General features: G+C 40.6%; 1 protein-coding gene across 4 annotated transcripts in view, besides 1 other annotated feature; it reads right to left on the bottom strand.

Annotated features, from left to right (window-relative positions):
- The window catches only part of RBFOX1 (RNA binding fox-1 homolog 1), a 2,473,620-nt gene that overhangs the window by 2,004,747 nt on the left and 448,954 nt on the right, over positions 1–19,919 (bottom strand). The gene's annotated exons all lie outside the window — the stretch shown is intronic.
- Positions 1,460–2,659: an enhancer, noted in NCBI's record as "CDK7 strongly-dependent group 2 enhancer chr16:5755936-5757135 (GRCh37/hg19 assembly coordinates)". NCBI's record gives its function as "activates an origin of replication core promoter dependent on BRD2, BRD4, P300/CBP, MED14 and CDK7 cofactors, with strong dependence on CDK7, by STARR-seq in HCT116 cells {active_cell/tissue: HCT116}" and the evidence as "EXISTENCE:reporter gene assay evidence [ECO:0000049][PMID:35650434]".

Here is a 19,919-nt window from a genome sequence, read left to right as displayed (position 1 = left end):
ATGGTTGAGGTGGTGGGGGTCAGCTGCTTAAAGCAGGATTCTGTTTTCATAAAAATGACATACGCAAAAAATCAAAGAGATGGAAGACACAGATCCAGCTGGACGCAGGTGGATCTACTAATAGCCTGAAATTATAAATTAAATGTTTGTACAGATTATTCTCTCTCACCCTACTGCTTGAGAGAAAAACCATGTTTTTGATTGAACTATCAAAGGAATCTATGTATATGGAAGCTCAAAATGAATTTGAGAGGCAGGACTATGTCTTTTTGTCCTTTATCTCTAACACCTAGGACAGTGCCTCATACTTCATCTGCTTGATACATATTTACCAAATGAATAAGCAAAATTATAATGAATACAAGAATTACTTGAACTGAATGAATGAAGTCATACAAGTTCAAGTTCATGAGATAACGTGTTTCTCTCTGTATTCATCCAGTTCCAGTCTGACTACTTCGGGTTTTCAGAAAATAAGAGGTTCCAGGAAGAGCCCACGAAACAAGCGTCTTGTTTGGTATGGACAGCAACTAGCCTCCTTCTTTTATTCTCTCTTTCAACAACAATAATTAACCATGTGGTGAACCCTTTGAATACACTGCCAAATTTCACCTGAGATGAGTATTATGGTCCCTACCTAGTGAATAGAAAACTAAAGCTTAGAAATACCACCCTCAAAGTTACAAATAGTATTAAGTACAGAGCTGGAAACTGAACCCAAGTCTGTCTGATTCCAATGGCATTCTTAACTACTACTCTACTTCCTTCCTAATAAATCTTTGTCAAGTGTCTTAGCAGCAAGTATTCCACCATGTCCTTTACACAGGTTTTCCTAATCCCCAAGGAACCCAATAAGGTATTAGTATCATTCCTATTTAACAGATGAGGCTATTCCTGCTCATAGAAGTTAAGGTTTCCAAACAAGGATGCAACACCAGCAAACCTCATAGCCACACGTGATGCCAGCTGTATCTTCCCTGGAAACTGTGCCTTTAAATATTGTACTTATAGCTGGAGTGTTGGGGGAAGGCATGATATTTGCCTATCTCAATGATTCTCTGAGTTCCTTGCAGATGGCAGACATAGGTGTTAGCTATCCAATTAGGACCTGGCATCTTTAGTGGTTACTAAACTCAATCTGGGTCCAACCGCCTTCATGAGCAAGGCACTCATGTCCCCCATTCCTAGCACAAGACACTTCAGCTCTGAGAAAATGCACACCCTTTTCCTTGAGGCTCTTAAAGAACTGACTTACAAAATCAAACACAGCAGAAGCAGAAATTACAGAAGCAATTTTCTTTCTCCCAAACAGCTGCAGCCAAGCCCAGAGATTCCAATTGCACACATTTCCTCTTTCTGTTTAAAGAGGGCTTGGATGAATTAGAGATAGTTACAGGTGTGAGTCCTACTCATGGGCTCACAAAGAGAAGCTCCCCACTAATGAGGCTTGTATTGTCTGGGAATGGGAGAGTCGTGAAAAATCCAAATCCTGACTTGGCTGGCTGGGTGTTTCTCATGTGTTTGTGTCTGGACACCCCTGGATGGGTGCTCTGCTGGAGGTGGAGAGAGAGAGATGGCCTCAAGCATTCAGACAAATAATTGCTTTTACGCAGGACGCTTGGCTTCTTCTCCCTGCTGAAAACGGACTGTGTATGAAGGTAAGATACTGGCCACCTACAGAGTGGGCTTAGGCTAGGGCTGGAGGAACCCCACCCTAAATCCTGTATCCTCCTACACCAAAAAAAAAGCCATGCCCTCTTGCCCCCTGCCCCAGTGATTCCTCCCCACTCTCACAGAACATTAAGTCCTTCCTGCAAATTCATAGGGGTGCCCCCGGAGACAAATCAACCATCAACCATCGTAGGAAAAAAAATACCAAAATCATTTCATTTGGCAACCAGTGCTTTAGGAAAGACATAAATATTGGAATTGCAACGTTATTTTCCTCCAGAGAGACACTCTGGAGAAAATTAAAACAATGCAAGATTTAATTATTAAAAGCCAAACATTCCTGTACACATTTTCTAGTCCAAAGTTTTAAAAACAAACTCCCAGAGAAGATAAATTTTTAATGACTAACTTTCTCCCACCCAGGACGTGTTTTCAACCCTCTCTGCATCATGACTCACCCAGCATAAATGACGGGGGAGCACCAGGGAAATAAGAGGGCAGGTTTCCTGCTAAACAAGAAGCAAGGCAGTGCTTGGTGATTCGGGGCAATCGACACCTTGAAATCAGCTTGCTTGGAACTGTATTTCCACTCTCATCTTCCAGACATGCTACATCAGGAAACATGTTTAAACTGGCCAAATTCCTCACCTGTACACATTTTCGTAACTTTCGGAATGTTCTAAGACAAAAATCATAGGAAAAAAAGCAACATGGCCGGGAGCCATGGCCCACGCCTGTAATCCCAGCACTTTGGGAGGCCGAGGCTGGCAGATCAGTTGAGGTCAGGAGTTCAAGACCATCCTGGCCAACATGGTGAAACCCCATCTCTACTAAAAATACAAAAATTAGCTAGGCATGGTGGCACGCACCTATAATCCCAGCTCCTCAGGAGGCAGACGCAAGAGAATTGCTTGAACCTGGGAGGCAGAGGTTGCAGTGAATGGAGAGCACACCACTGCACTCCATCGTGGGCAACAGAGCAAGACTCTGTCTCAATAAAAAAGACAGAAAAAAAAGCAACACGATCAGTTCATGTGTCTGAGAAACATCTATCAGGCACCTATTTTGTTTCCACTGAACTGTTCTAGCCACTACGGATATGATAATAAGCAAAGCCAAGAGGCCTCGCACACAGATGCGGTATCCCAGGAGAATGACAGAGTGATCTTGTTATCCCTAAAAGCCCACCTGCTTTGCTTCCATAATCCCCTTGTTAGGATGATGAGAGGTCCTATGAGTCAGGTCTCATCTCTTTCTCTCCTCATTGCTCAGTCACTTAATGGTCCCACATTGATTATTAGTTGCCTCCTCTCTGTCTTTGAATGTTTCTTAGTTTGCTGTTAGTCCAAAAAACAAATTGTGTGTACTAATGTCAATGTTTCGCTCGTGATTACAGAGGTGTTTAAAAGCTGAGAGATCCTTGCTTGAGCCCATGAGTTTGAAACCAGCCTGGGCAATATAGTGAGAACCCCTTCTCCGCAAAAAATTAAAAAATTATCTGTACATGGTGGTGCATGCCTGTAGTCCCAGCTACTCAGGAGGCTGAGGTGGGAAGATAGCTTTAGCCCAGAAGTTCGAGGTTGCAGTGATCAAGGATCATGCCACTGCACCCTAGCCTGGACAAGACAGCAAGACCCTGTCTAAAACTAAAAAAATAAAAACAAACCTAAGAGATCCATTAGCACATGGATGGTGCTGGTTTTGGTGCTGATGGAAAGAATATGAAGCATGATGGAAGATAGGAAGATAGCCTTCAAGGACAAAGATCAAAGGTTGCAGGAACCAAATGATTTATTTTACCCTATCTTTACTAATAATAATTTCGCCTACTCCTCAATGACATACAATGTGTGGTTACATATTTGATTTTGCAAAATGGATACCAGTGGGTCAAAAATGGGCTGGAGGGAGAGATTCCTGGTGGAAGAGATGATCTACACATGTGCCCTTGGAGATGAGCAGGTTTTCCCACTGCCTCATTCCCATATGACTTTTTGGTTGAAGGAGGGTAGTTAAATCCCCATGATGTAAGAAGCCCGATAAGTCTCATTCCTAATTCAAATTACCCCATGTTTCCAAAAGTTCCTAACAACTCAAAGGGGGTCCTGGCACTGGCCAACTCACCCTGTCATTATATGTGCTGCCAGAGCACACATAGTAACCCGGCCAAGCTGAGGATGGAGTTGAGGGGTCCTGGGAGAGCCCCCCAAAATATAAATGAGCCAAATGAAACCCTAGCCACCTCAGAATGTCAAAAACCCAAGTAGTTGGCTACTTCCACTCAACTTGAGATCCGGTGCATTAAAGCAACTTAAAATAACTTGAGGGAAGAGGGGTAAATAAACCAGGGATGATTTATCTCCGAGGAATAACGGTGTGACTGCTGAATAATTACATGCACCAATCTTTATTAGTATGCAAAGTAGCTGGGCCTGGTTGGCTCCCAGCACTGCTCAAAGGACAAAAAGCCAACAGAGCTGTGCACATTCTAATAAATCACACCCCACCACTCCCTGTGAGTTGTGGCGACCCCCAGACCCCCAGGGCCCCTCTGTGTGCTACTCTTCTCTGAGAGATAAGCAGAGAGTACTTAATTTCTACCTTCTAGTGATGGATTAGGCTCCAGAGTTCCTCCAGAGGAGTTTGGCTGGGGCTTCTCTTTGCATAACTTTTATCCAAATTATTACTGTTTTATCCAGCAGCTTCTGCAACTGTGATTCCTGTCCTCCTCCATCTGGGTACTAAATGTCTCTGCATTTGGGACCTCCCCTCTTCTTGCTGTCATGTCCTCAGTGGATGTGCCCCAAGTCTTCTGTACTGGCCCAACAAGCAGTTCAAGGTGGGTAATAAGAACCTGGAAACCTCACCAGGTCAACCCAAGAGCACCATTCAGCTTGCTCTAATCTCTGAAGGTAGAACAGATCTGAGCGACCATGTAACGATTTGAGGGGGCTTAACCTGGGCATAATAATCATGGCAATAGTTCACATAATGATTAGTGTAAATTTCTGTAAAATTTTGAATATGCTAAGCACCTTTGTAAGCCATGCATACACTGCATATCATCTATAACATGTAGATAATAATATCCCTACATCATGGGTTGCATATTAAATATGTACACATATATATATACTCACACACATAAATACACATGCACATATACACACATATATACACACACATTTGACACTTGTAAAAAAATTATGCAATAAAGACATTATCCCCATTTAACGGATGAGAAAACTGGGCTCAGAGAGTTAAGTAACCTATTCAGTGGCTGAGCTGAAACCCAAATGCAAGCATCCTGACTCCAGAGTCTCTGCATTAACCTCTGCACTAAAACATCTGTGCACTAAAAATCTTTAAATAGGCTTCCATGGCTCAAAGAATTGAGACCAAAATCCTTGGAAGAATATACGAGGATGCTCTGTGATATTTGTACTCTGGCTTCGCCTCATGCCACTCCCAGCTTGCCCTCTGGGCTCCAGTTCTCCTACCCACCTGCCGACCCTCCAGTGAACCAAACTCCATCCCAATTTAGAGGCTTTGCTCCTCTCCCTCAGCAGCTCTTCCCTGCCCTCTTTGCATGGCCAATTCTTATACATCTTTCAAAAAGCCTTGGTTCAAATATCATATCCTCCAGAAAGCCTTTTCCCAATGCCCTTACCCCATACTCAGCTCCATGCCCCTGTGTTATGTGTCCTGTAATACCTCAAAGTATCCTGTGCCCCTCTTTCATAGCAAAGTTGCAATTATACAGGATCATTTGCTCCATATCTCTCTCATGCCTTAGACTGTAAATGCCATGTGGGCAAAGACCTGGCATCTTTTTCATCATCATCTTCTTAGTGCCTACCATCAACTCCAGCACACAGGACATATTTAGTAACTATTTACCAGATGACACAATGGAAAGGAAGCTTTAAGAGACATCATGATGTACATGATGTTTGTCACATAGTAACATGCAGAGGCCTGAAATTCGTCACATAGTAACAGATACAATAAGATGAAAGTATCCCCTATTCCCCATATTCACAACCAAGAAGACCTTTCATATGGGCATAGAGGGTGTTATCTAAAAACATGAGCATTTACTAAACTTAGTTCCACAACACACACAGCAAAGATCACTACTTGCCAACCCCCAAGCAGCATGTTCATGCATCTCAATCTATTCCCCAAAGGTTTTATGAGGTCAACACCACTATGAACCCCATTTTACAGATGGGTCAATTGATACTCATAGACTGTTAACATTCATTGAGGTTATAGAAGCTTATTGTTAAAACAGACCTCAACAAAGTCCAAAAACAACCAGGGAAGTATAAAATCCTCTCTCAAACCTTGTTCCTCTCCAGGGCTATTAGGGGAAAGTTGTTGGAATGCTCAGACATCTGCACAGCAATTATCCTTTAGTTTCCTCGCTGGCCTAGCTAATTGATTACCAAGGTGATATGGTTTGGATTTGTGCCCCCACTCAAATCTCATGTCGAATTGAAGGAGGGACACGGTGGGAGGTGACTGCATCATGGGGGTGAATTTCTCCCTTGCTGTTATCTCATGATAGTGAGTGAGTTCTCACGAGATCTGATGGTTTAAAAGTGTGGGGCACATCCCCTTTTGCTCTATCTCCTGCCGGCATGTGAAGAAGGGGCTTGCTTCCCATTCACCTTCTGCTATAATTGTAAGTTTCCTGAGGTCTCCCAGTCATGCCTCCTGTTAAGCCTGTGGAACTGAGTCAATGAAACCTCTTTTCTTCATAAATTACCCAGTCTCAGGTAGTTCTTTACAGCAGTGTGAGAATGGGATAAATACAGAAGACTTCCCAGCCAATTCCCCACCTCCTTCTCACTGATAGCTACTTATGGCTAGATTTCTCTTCACTCCATCAACACGTGTCTATTGAGCTCTTACTTTCTACCAGGCATTCTTCTAGACACTGAAAGAACAGAAGGAAACAAGACAGAGGTCTCCATTCTCCTAGAGTTTATACTGTGTGGAAGAATTTAGCAAAACCTCTACTAGAAATAAATTACGAAGTTAAGACCATTCAAAATGGGCATTTAAACCTAAGGTCCAGGAAGGCTGAACTGGCCTGATGAACGTCCAGATGACCTATTTTTCAAGGATGCCACGGACAAAAAATGCCTCTGGTAAGATGGTCATCAAAGGTCCTCCACCTTGGCCAGATGTGGTGGCTCACACCTGTAGTCCCAGCATTTTGAGAGGCTAAGGCAGGCGGATTGTTTTAGGCCAGAAGTTTGAGACCAGCCTGGGCAACATGACGAAACTCTGTCCCTACAAAAAAATACAAAAAATATTAGCCAGGTGTGGTACAGTGTGCCTGGAGTCCCAGCCACTGGAGAGAATGGCTTGAGCCCAGGAGGCATAGGTAGCAGTGAGCTGAGGTGGTGCTACTGCATTCCAGAAAAAAAAAAAATCTTCCATCCTTTGTACATGGAGGAAGGTGGAGCTCTGTGATCTCTACAAAGCTGGCTAGAGAGCACTCCTTGGAGACAAGCTTGAGGCATCACAATATATTCTCCCAAGAAGTCCCTTAACTCTACATGCAAAATAAACTTTCAAATGATTTCCTTTTGTATTTGTTTGCATTACATTGGAATTCAAGGTCTTCATAACCTGTTATGCTGTATTTTAGCTTCAAGTATGAAGAAACAGTCTCCAAAGCTGAAACAGCATAGTCTGGCAGGGGAGGCCAGCAATTAGCCAATAATGCAATGCAAGAAACAGATCACACAGACTTAAGATTGATTTATTTGGTCCAGGATCTTTAACAATAAACAGGCATTTTCTGGTATCATCAGGGCAAGAAGAAATGGGGATGAGAGGCTATTAAAAGAAGAAAAATCTAGATCAAGAACACAGCATATTTGCAGTGAACATCTCCTCTTTTTGCCTACCCAGTGTCATTCTACCTTTTGGAAGTAGTAGCATTCCTCTTAACCTTTCAAGAACCATCCTTTTCTTACTCTCAGACACTATGGGTGACACCACAGCATGCTCAGCTCCTGGAGTGGACATGTGACCTACAACTGGCCAGCCTATGACTGGTTCACAGATGGGTGTGGGACCCAAATTGAGATCATAGGAAGGATAACTGAAGAATTCATCCACAGTGCACTAAAGAAGGGCAAAAATAAAAGAAGGGTAAGTAATAAACCAGAAGGATTGAGAAGCTCTAACATGCATCTAATTGGAGTCTCAGAAGCGGGCAAAAACAATAACAGAACTGAAGAAATTGAAGACATCATTATGGAGAATTTTCCAGAGTTGAAAACACATTGTTTCTCTGCGAGTTCCAACCAGGATCAATGAAATGTCTACCTAGATACACCACAGTGAAACTGCATAACCAAAAGAATTGTAAAGATCTTAAAAGCTGACATAGAAGAAAATATTATTGCCTATAAAGAAAGACACGTAGACTTCATGAAACGCTTTCATGAGGAACGTGAGCCAATAGAATAACAGGAGAAACAACTATGAATCTAATATTTTAGATCCACCTGCTATGATTCCAGAGAGAAGGCAATACAAAGATATTTTTAGATATAGAAAGACCAGGACACATTACCACCCACTAACCCTTGCCAAAAAAAAAACTGTCAAAGTGGGCTTTTGAATAAAGATAATGAATACTGAGGCATATAATAAATTCAGCACAAAAATTGATCGAATAGTTTGCATTCTTTTTAAATGCTGACTTCAAATAACTATTTCAAAAAATATTAAACTAAAATTTCAGTTAATAAAACCAGAACACTGGCCAGGCATGGTGGCTCACGCCTGTAATCCCAGCACTTTGGGAGGCCAAGGCGGGCAGATCATGAGGTCAGGAGATCGAAACCATCCTGGCTAACACGGTAAAACCCCGTCTCTACTAAAAATACAAAAAATTAGCCGGGCGTGGTGGCGGGCGCCTGTAGTCCCAGCTACTCAGGAGGCTGAGCAGGAGAATGGCGTGAACCCGGGAGGCAGAACTTGCAGTGAGCCGAGATCGCACCACTGCACTCCAGCCTGGGCGACAGAGCAAGACTCCGTCTTAAAAATAAATAAATAAATAATAAAACCAGAACACAAAGATAATGTCTGCTAAAATCCATGCCATCTTATCATGAAGGATTTCTCAACCTTGGCATTGTTGGTATTTTGGGCAGGATAATTTTGTACAATGAAGAGCTGTCCTGTGCATTGTAGGATGCAATATAGTTGGATTCTATCCTCTAGATCCCAGTAGCACACCCCAACCCAGAGCTGACAACCAAAAATGTCTACCCAGAGCTGACAACCAAAAATGTCTCTTAACTGGAGGCAATTTTGCCCCCAAGCAGACATTTGGCAATTAGTGCAATAGTCATATGGTACAAAACTCTCTATCTAAAACATCCTCTTGGGGGCAAAATTGCCTTCAGTTAAGAACCACTGCACTAAAAATAGAACAATCTACTGTCTCCAAACCAGTGTAGAACATAGAAGAAATAAACTAAACTTTATTGACCCAAGAGCAGGAGAAAAAAAAAAAAAAGGAAAATTAAGGGAAAATATAGTTTAATAATCTAAATATACCCATATCACAATATATGTAAATACTTCAATTTACTTTTTAAAAGACTGAGGTGATATAACTGCATAGAAAACCGAGATCCCTTAGGGAGGCCAAGGCAGATGTATCACGAGGTCAGGAATTCAAGACCAGCCTGGCCAATATGGTGAAACCTCATCTCTACTAAAAATACAAAAATTAGCTGGGTGTGGTGGCATGCACCTATAGACCCAGCTGCTCGGGAGGCTGAGGCATGAGAATCACTTGAATCCATGAGATGGAGGTTGCAGTGAGCCGAGATCATGCCATCGCATTCCAGCCCGGGCAACAGAGCAAGACTCTGTCTCAAAAAAAAAAAAAAAAAAAAAATCCAACCAGGTGCTGTTTATAAGAGAGATATCTAAAACCAAGCTACACAGATGGATGGGAAAGAAAGAAATAGGAAAACAAAGACATTGCAATACAGATGCTACACAAAATAAAGCTGATGTAGCTATAACAAAATCTTTAATAAACAAAATTTTAAAAACAAAGTATTCAAGGTTCATTCATGGTGTAGCCTATTTCAGTACCTCATTCCTTTTCATAAACAAATGACTTTATGTTGTATGGACATACCATGTTTTGATTATTCATTAATCAGTTAATAGACATTTGGGTTGCTTCCAACTTTTGGCCCTGGTGAACAGTATTGCTACAGACATTCATCTGTAAGTTTTTGTTTGAACACCTGTTTTTAAATCTTTTGAATGTATACTCAGGAGTGGAAGTGCTGGGTCATACAGTATTTTTGTTTAGATATATTTTTACAATCAAAAAATAAACTATAAAGCAGCTCTGTACAAAAAACAAAAACTAGTATATTACATGTACAGTTTTCTAGAAAAACTTAAATTACCAAAATGGACTCAAGAAAAAGTAAGGAAACTACAATAAGCCAATAACCATAAAATAGAAGTAATGATCAAAGTTGCCTTGTCTATCTAATATACACACCCCAAAAGCAAAAAATTACAGGTAAATTTTACCAAATTTTCAAGGAAAAGATAACTTTCTACCTTATATAATTTTTTTCAGTGAATATAAAAAGAAAGTCATGACTCACTGGGGGTAGTATTACCTTAGTAACAAAATCAAACAAGAACAGTGTAAGAAGAGAAAATTATAAACCATTCTCACTTATCAACACAGATGTAAAAATCTCAAATAAAGCAGTTTCCAATGGGATTCATCAGAGTCTAAAAATAATAATACATCATGATAAAATAATGTTTAGTCCAAAAATCCAATAACGATTCAAAACCAGAACTCCTATTAAGGTAATTCACCACATCAAAAGATTAAGGGGGAGAGCATATAACAACAATTTATGAAGACCAGGCATTTCATAAAACTTAATACCTACTCATTATAAAAGCCTTTAGCAAACTTGGTACAGTAGGGAACTTTCTTAACCTATTATGGTTATCTACCAAAGACTATTGCAAAGATCATGCTTAAAGTTGAAACTATAGATGGACTCCCACTAATGTCAGGGATGGAAAAAGAATAACCCCACTTTGGGAGGCTGAGGCAGGCAGATCATGAGGACAGGAGTTCGAGACCAGCCTGGCCAATATGCAGATAACCCTTCTCTACTAAAAATACAAAAATTAGCCGAGCGTGGTGGCGCACACCTGTAGTCCTAGCTACTTGGAGGGCTGAGGCAGAAGAATCGCTTGAACCTGGGAAGCAGAGGTTGCAGTGAGCTGAGGTCATGCCAATGCACTCCAGCCTGGGTGACAGAGCGAGACTCTATCTCAAAAAAAAAAAAAAAAGAATAGAAAAGAAAAGAAAAGCCCACAACTACTACCTTTATTCATCATTGTTCTCTTGGTCCTCTAGCTCGTGCAATAGGCAATAAATATGGCATCTACATAATATATAAACATATATTATTATATATAACACTATGTATTATAGATAGCATATATGCTACATATTATTCATATTATATGAGTTTTATGTATCTATAAATTATATACTTTTCCTATATAGAGATGTATATGCTTTATTTATTTAGGTTGGAAAGAGAGAGCGAAAACAGTCTTGACAAATGACGTGAACACCATTAATAGAACATCTAAGAAGATCTACAACCAAAGTATTAGGATTATTAGAGTTTAGCAAGATTGCTGGATAATAATCAACATGCAAAAATTAATATTATATCCAGAAATAAACAATCCAAAATTATATGAGAAAAAACTACCCCTTCACATAGTACAAAATTCTAACTTATCTAGAAATATTTGCACCTGTAGTCCCACCTACTCGGGAGGCTGAGGCATGAGAATTGCTTCAATCCAGGAGGCAGAGGACGCAGTGAGTCAAGACTGTGCCACTGTACTCCAGCCTGGGCAAGAGAATGAGACTCGGTCTCAAAAAACAGAACAAAACAAAAACATATATGTCTCTGTAAGTATATATGTGTACAGAAAGAAACAGAGAAGATATGTAAGATAGATAATTTATACATAATTTAAATATATAAATCAAATATATAAAGATGCAGATTATAGACAGACATGAAGAAAGTCTTCAAAAATGGTAAGACATACTGTATTCATAGATGGGAAGGCAATATCATAAGAATGTAAACTCTCCTCAAGTATTTGAATTCCATGCAATTCATATCAAAATTATAATAATTATTTTCATCAAATTTTAATACACTGATCTTTAAATTCACATAGAGGTGCAAAGGACTATGCATAGTAAAGACTTCAGTGCATTCTGGAGATGGTTTTAGAAATATGCGGTAAATTTGAAAACGCACATAGCCTTGGATCACATAATTTTATTCCTACATATTTAGTCAAAGCACAAGGAAGCAAGTTCACAATTATTTCTTACAGCCTTGAATAAGTAAAAATATGTAAATAACCTGAATGTCCACCAGTAGGAAAATGGTTAACAAATTCTGCTGTAATCATACAGGGAGATATTATACAGAAGTTAAAATGAATAAACTGGCATTACATGTGAAAACCCAGATGCATGAGATACCTTGTTTTGCCTATGGATTCATAAATATTTAGAAAATACCTATGGGAATAATAGTTCTGGCAGCTAAGGAAGACAATGAAAATGGGAGAAGGTACCCAGAGGCATCAGCTCTTTCATGGATTTTAAAATATTTACAAATTCTGAAGCAAATATAAAATAATATTAAAACATAATAATGCTAAAAGGTGACTACAGGAGGTTCACTATATTCTTCTCTGTAATTTTCTACCAGAATTTCCCACTTTCTGGATTTAGCTATTTGTATTCAAATCTAAAACCGTGTTTGACATTTTCCTCTAATCCTCATATTCCCTATAACTGTAATTAAATCTAGAAGGTTGATTGGATTTAGGGGCAAATTCTTCTCTTATCGATTTTTTATTACATATATTTAAGAGGTACAACATGATGTTCTGATCCACACATATATGCATAGTGAATGATTAGTACCTGTGAGCAAATTAACATATCTATTACATTCTATAGTTACCTCCTTTCCTTTAGAAGAGCATCTAAATGTTCAGTATACAAAACTAGTAAGTATTACAAGTATTAAGTCCTGTGCTGTCCACTAGATCCTTAGATTTAGTCATCCTAATTCCAAGCATAGGTCAAAGGGTGCAAAGGTGCAATTTCTTTTCTTTTCAGCCAAACCACGTCGTGGTGGTACTTGTTATTACCGATGATTGCATCACATAAGGAGGTGCATAACATCTGATTTTCCAAGTTTTAGCAATCCTAAGATTGACCAATTATTTTGACTGGCATCATCCCATCCATCTATCATCAAATTCCCCATCCACCTTTCACCTAGTGGTTTTCATAGCTATGGATCCTGATTGCCTAGCTTCATTATTTAATTAGGACCTACAAAAGAGTGGTTTTTTAGAGATTCTCAGTGATTTCTAAGCGATTTACCATCCTGCTTGCTCTTATTGCTGTGGCTCTTTCATAGAAAACTTTTCCTTATAAAATATTTGCCCTGATATATAGAAATGTAATGATTATTGAGTTGGATGATGAGTACCCAGGGACTTCTTAAATTATCCACTCCACTTTTGAATGTTTGAAAATTTCAATATTAGAGTAAAAAATTAAAAACAAAGTGAAATAAAAATTGAAATGCTTAGTGAAAAAACTGAAAGGAAATACACTAAATATCTCACCCTAATTTATGTCAAGGTTGTAGGACTACAGGTGACATTTACACACTGTTGTATTTGCCAATTTATCAATAAAAACATATATTACTGTCAGTGTCTTGGTAATCTCAAGTCGCATGGTTTTAAATGTCATCCATATTCTGTAGCTTCCAGACCCTCACCTTTAATCCAACCTCCTTTCTAAATTCCACAACCATTACTAACTAAACACTACTTAACAGACATCTTATATCTAAACTGTTCAAAGCAGAATTCCTGCTTTCATTGTCTCTCCAAAATCTGTTCTCTTCTACCATCTCCCCATCGCTCCAATTGCACAAGCAAAACAAAAACAAAAACAAAAACAAACCCAACTCCCCAAAAAAGGAAAATCAAGCAGAAGAGCAGAATGGTGTGATGATAGTGGGGTTGGGGGCTGTGAGTGGTCTACTTTAAATCGGGAGTCAGGGCCAGTCTCCCTAAGAGGTATCATTTGAAACAATTGACTGAGCAAAGCCCTCAGGAAGGACTGCATCAGGCAGACATAACCCAAACCCTAGCACAGTGGTGATCTTAGAGTGTGGAACAGGAAAAGCTAGAGTACAGCAAGGCAGTGCTGGGTACCATTAAGCTCTTGGTAAAACTGAAGACCAGCTGGTCCTCCAAATCACCCCAGAAATGCCTACCGATTTCATAGACCAAGTGGGTATCATTCAGAAGTTGTGTTCACGAAGTTACAGAACCGAAATCACTCAGGAAATCTCAACTGCTGCCCCACTAAGTAGACGGAAGGCAGAAAACCTGAAAATCCTCAATAATGGATCACAGTAGCTCTATAATGACAAGGTAAAACAGTGATAATTAAATGACTTTAGCAGTGTGTCAAGATGAAGGATCACAGTCTTGGAAATTGAGGCTGGTAAATCAGGCTGGTAAACCCCTCAGGCTTGCACACATACCCCAGTTAGGCTGTGAAAAATGCAGAATGCAAAATCCCCGGCCACACATTTTGGTTTAGCACAATGTTCATTCCCATCCTATTAGGGTTACTTCTGAGCCAAGCACAGCTGGGCTTTCTTTTCAACTCTGAGGCAAAATGAGAGCTGAGCTCAAATTTATCTCACTTACTCTGTACTTTACTCTGATGCCCCGAAGCTGTGTGCTAGATGCTAGCAAAAGATAGACAAGATGTCTACTCTAACTGGGGAAAATGGGTAACACAAGGCCATTGCCACCTGTGACGAGGTGGGGGAATGAGGCAGCCCAGAAGACAGTCCTCTCACTGAACCCCAACCTTCTCTAGATCAGGAAAACTGTCACAAAAAGACAATACTTGAGCTGAGTTTGAGGAGTGAGAAGTTGCCTACTTATAAGAAGGGAGAGGAAGGAATTCCACGCAAAAAGAATCATAGCCAGGCTTGATCTTGGATAGAATGGGAAAGAGGAAGTCACTGTAGGTGACATTTAAGATTATTTAATTTAACTGGCATCAAAAGTTCTGGAACCAAGATTCTCGCTGCGTCTTTCACAAACACCCACACTGAAATCCATCACCACCCACCCTCCACAGCAGCATGATTGAAAGAAGGGCCTGACCTGCAGGGAAGAATTTTCTCCTTCCCCCAACATATAATGAGTTTTTTAACCTTTTTTGTTCCACAAGTATTATGTATAAGAAAAAAAAAGAACAGGCAAAACAAAATAAAATAAAATTGGTCTCATTTGCCCTACTCAGGCGTATCCATTGCAGTGTTTTGATTCAGAGTTTCAGATATTTTGTTTTTGTTTTTTTTTTGATCTGCCTATATATGCTTTTAAAATAGTCATACTATTTGTAAACTAAAAATCATTTTATTTTAATGCAAAGGTCTACAGTTTGGATGGTTTCCAAGCCTCATTACCCACAGTTTTCATCTCCTACTTATGAAGTTAGGTCAGGAGAGGGTTAAAGGGCCCATGGGCAGGAGAGAAGAGATGTATCATCTCAGGGAAGGGAAAGCAACAGAAGGATTGTGTGCTTCACAGTTCACACCAGGATGCTCACACCCACGTCTGTCCACTCAGCTCTCTTCCATAGCAACCAGAATACTGCCTTCTCGGGAAGATACAAACTTCCATACTTAAAACACCTTCAGTTGACATCCAGAGCTGGGGGGAAGCTGGAAAAATAGTGAATTGTGTAGTGAGTCCAGATGTTTGCAAAGCCGTCTAAATGCTTCTGTCTCAGAATGTACCTACCTGTGTCCTCCCAGCTAAGCTGCATGTGCCATGTCTTCACCTTTGATACCTCTTTGTTCAACCTGCCTTCCAGGTATGGTCTCACTTCTTTCTTACTCGGCTTGCAGATGAGCACAACCCTCTTGCCTGGACTCTGTGCGTTTTCTTGTTCGGTGGGCTGTGTCCTGATGATCCCGGCAGGTTTGCTGGCTTGAATTCTCAACAAACCAAGTACACAAAGAACTACTAGATGAGGCACTGAGCTCCCCAGCCAGGGATTCTGGTCCCTACGTAGGAGTGTGTACGTACTCACCTCCTGCATTACTTTTCTATTGCTGCATAACAAATCTTCACAAACTCAGAAGCTTAAAACAACACTAATTTGCTGCATTAGGAGACCGGGTACAGCAGAAATGGACTTTCTCTACTCAGGGTCTTCACCAGGATGCAACTCAGGCGCTCTTTGGAGCTGTAATACACAGAGTCTCAGTTGGGAAAGATCCACTTCAAGTCTTCCCCAGTGGTTAGCAGAACTCATCTTTTTGCAGCTGTGTGACTGAGGTCCGCTTTTTCTTGGTGGCTACTGGCCAGAGACCACTCTCATCTCCTAGAGGCTGCCTGCAGTTCCTTGGCTTGTTGCCTCTTCCACAGTGTTTTCTCACAACATGGCATCTTGCTTCTTTAAAGCCAACAAATGGAGCTTCTGTGCATCTGCTAGCAGTGAAACACAAACACACACACACACACACACACACACACACACACACACACACACACACAGTCAGTCCCTATTATGCATGGGTTTGGTATTTGTGAATTTGCCTAGTTTATTAAAGTTACTACAGTTTATCCATAACCTTCAAATCAATAACCATGACACTTTCCCAGTCATTTGGGGATGTACACAGAATGGCAAAAAAAAATAAAAAAAGAGTTACCAAATGTGCACATTCTTAGCAGAGGTGAAGAATGTGACACTCAGCCTTCGTGTTACATGTCTCACAGCAAGATGACCACAAAGTGGAGGAAGGCAGTATAGGAGAGTACAAGAAGCTCTGGCTTGAATCCCAACTGGATGGGGATTGAATCCCAACTCTGGCACCTATTTGTGGGACAGTCTCAGACAAATCAAGCACTTCTGAACCTCGTTTCCTCTTTTGTAAAATAAAAAAAAAGATAATGTTTACAGGATTTAAGATTACAGGCTACTTGAGATATACAAGTTGAGCATCCCTCATCTGAAAACATGACATCCACAATTTCCCAAAATCTGAAACTCCTTGAGCACCAACATGACTCTCATTGGAGCATTTCAGATTTTTGGATTAGAGATGCTCAACTGATAAGTATAATGCAAAATATTCCAAAATTTGAAAAAATTCAAAATCTGAAAACTTCTAGTCCTAGGCATTTTGGGTAAGGGATACTCAACCTGTACACACACACAAATATATACATATTTTAAAAGTTGCCATGAACATTGAATTAACAAATATTCAACCACTGATTCAAGCAGTACCATCCCAAGAGCACACACTGCCCTAGTGGACAAATGGTCGACCAGCTGCATGGCTCTATGCAGCACTCCAGTACATCTTGCATCAGCACAGATCAGGCAGAGACTACCAGCTTCCCAGGGTCTTATGTACCGCATACAATGTTTCTGCTTCATGACTAATATCCCAATCCTCCTGAATTGCTCTGGGTTCTTTGCTTGCAGGCAACAGAAACTAATGATGGAAATTATGCAAAACAGAAAATTTATTACAAAGATGTTGAGGAGCTCAGAAAACATAAGGGAAAACTTAACAACTATCTCTAAGCATCCAAATAATTAGACCTATTGGACAGCCTCTTCAGAGAGCCACAGTCAGGGTGAATAAGCTCATATTATTTCCATCTCTGTGTCACTGTACTCAAAATTTTGTTCTGGGGTAAAGAGGATTATTGGGCTGCACTGGATTACCTGCTCTCCCTTCTTGGGAAATATGGGGCCACTTTACAGTCTCTCTGAAACTGTCACCTACTGGGAATGAGCAGTTCCCCCAAACAAATCAGGGTTTTGTTGGCATAAGTAGAAATAAAAACTGGGCATGTAAAAACAATGGAAGTACACTCTGTACTCATCAGGAAACTTCAGCCTAGGCATGGTCAGGTTTCAAATCCAATTCAGGAGAACACAGCTTCTTAGAGAAAGACATACGCGCCCCTCACCCCAACGTCAGTTTCCTTTCTGTACCCATTCATTTGAAAATTACTCATTTAATGTCAGTCATGTACTAAATCTTCCGTTAAGATTTTGGAATTCAGAGGGAAGTAAAATCGAGTCCTTGCCCTCAAATCCCTCAAAATCTGATGGGAAAGGTTTGTTTGTTTGTTTTCAAGCAGACTGGCCACAACAGAAGTGAGTGTTGTATGGACTGAGTGCCTCCATCATGCCAGGCGTTATGCCAAGAGCGTTACGGGCAGTATTTTGTCCAGTTCTCCTAACATGGTGGGGAAGGTAGTGGCTATCCTGTTTGTAGAGCTGTAAACAGATTCACTGAGCCCCAAGATATGGGTAGACGGTGGCCCAAATCCTTCTCAAGGTCATCACTGGCTTTTGGGAGTTCTACATTGAGGAGTATTCCTTTCAGGAGAGGATGCAATCCATCATACAGAAGCACTTTGTTGGCATTGATGACACTGTGATGACAATAACATGCATTCAGGTGGAGCTCATGGATGACTGTCTTCAATGTATGCCCTTTCATTGGATAAGTATGCGATACCATTACATGAAAACCAAGACTCCTTTTCAGGGAAAATAAAACCAACCGGGGCGTCTTAACCAGGATGACCTCGCTGGCCTCTCAGGCCGTACTCCTCTCTCCCTGACCACTGTCCAGCTCTCCTTCAGCTTCACCAGCACACTCAGGTCTTTTCCTCTGCAAAGTTTACGCAATTGCTGTTCCATGTGCAAGCAGCACTCCCCTGCTGTCTCTCTGCATGGCCATGCTCTACGTCTCCAGGTCAATACTTCAGAGAGACCTTCCTAGACTATCCTGTTCCATCATTCCCCTGTCAAACAGTTCATTCCCTTCCTTGTGATTACCATAATACATAACTTATTTACAAATGTGTTCCTTCTTTTTTTTTTTGGTCTGTATTTCTTATTAAAATGATTGGTCTAAGACCAAAGATCTTGTCCCTGTTGTTCTCTATTGTATTCCTTGTTCCTAAAAGGTTCCTGGGACATACAGTTCAAAAATATATATCTGATGTACGAATGACTGAATAAGTGAATGTGACCATAACGCAGAAATTCCCTAAGAAATGCTTTGTCCTGATAGGTCTCCAGTCTCTGCAGAGGACAAAGAGAAATATTCTAAGGTCCCAAAAAGTCTTTCCTGGTGTGCCACATAAGACCTCCTATTCAGTTCAGTGTAATATTTCCCACATACCAGACAATCTTTCTTTAGGATTCCACAGAAATTTGAGCAGGCAACTAGTCCTATCCTCCGCTTTCCCCACCCTCATCACCAAATTTACAACTCCCACAATCATAGTTACCATTTACCAATTGCTTCCTGTAACCCAGGCACTGTACTATGCCCTGCATATATGTTATCTAACTCTGTGTAACAACCCTTGATAGGTAACCATTATGATACCCACATTACCAGCAGGTAACTTGTAAATGATTTGCTCAAAGCCTCAAAATCATAAGTGATGGAGCTGATAAGCAATCCTTAATGAGTGCCATACTGAGCACCACCTGTGTGGCTGCCCTCCCCACAATTCCAGTTCTCTGGACGTGACCTTGACATCCAGAGTTTAATCTCCAAGTGCCATGTTTGTGTTACATAACCAAGCCTCCCGACCTTGGCTTATTGGTTCAAAGTTAGGTAAGTGACACAAGATGTCAAAATAAAATCCTGCCTTGATTTTGTTTCTTTTTTTAACCAAGAGAAGAGATGGGTTCACATTTGGTAGGTAGAGCTGTGAGGGCTGTGCCCCTGGCGTTAGTGGCCACATTCCCCATAGTTAATCTAGAGACTGAAACTCAATACCAGGAGAAGCAGAGATGAGAGGCAGTAGAAGAGAGTCCTGGCAAACGTTGAGTCTCTAGTTCTAGTTTTCTTAAAGACCTAGAGGCTCCATTCCACTTTCTCAAGTTACTTGGAATGCCCTGACATTTCTCCAATAAATTCTCCTTTTTGTCTGAGCTTATTTTAATTCAGTCTTTGCCATTATGTCACCCAAGATGTCTCATTAATTTACATGTGAGA

This window comes from Homo sapiens, chromosome 16 (assembly GCF_000001405.40).
Source record: "Homo sapiens chromosome 16, GRCh38.p14 Primary Assembly".
Classification (NCBI taxonomy): Eukaryota; Metazoa; Chordata; class Mammalia; order Primates; family Hominidae; genus Homo; species Homo sapiens.
Note: the sequence above shows the minus strand (reverse complement) of the source record. Positions and strands in the feature narration are given on the sequence as shown.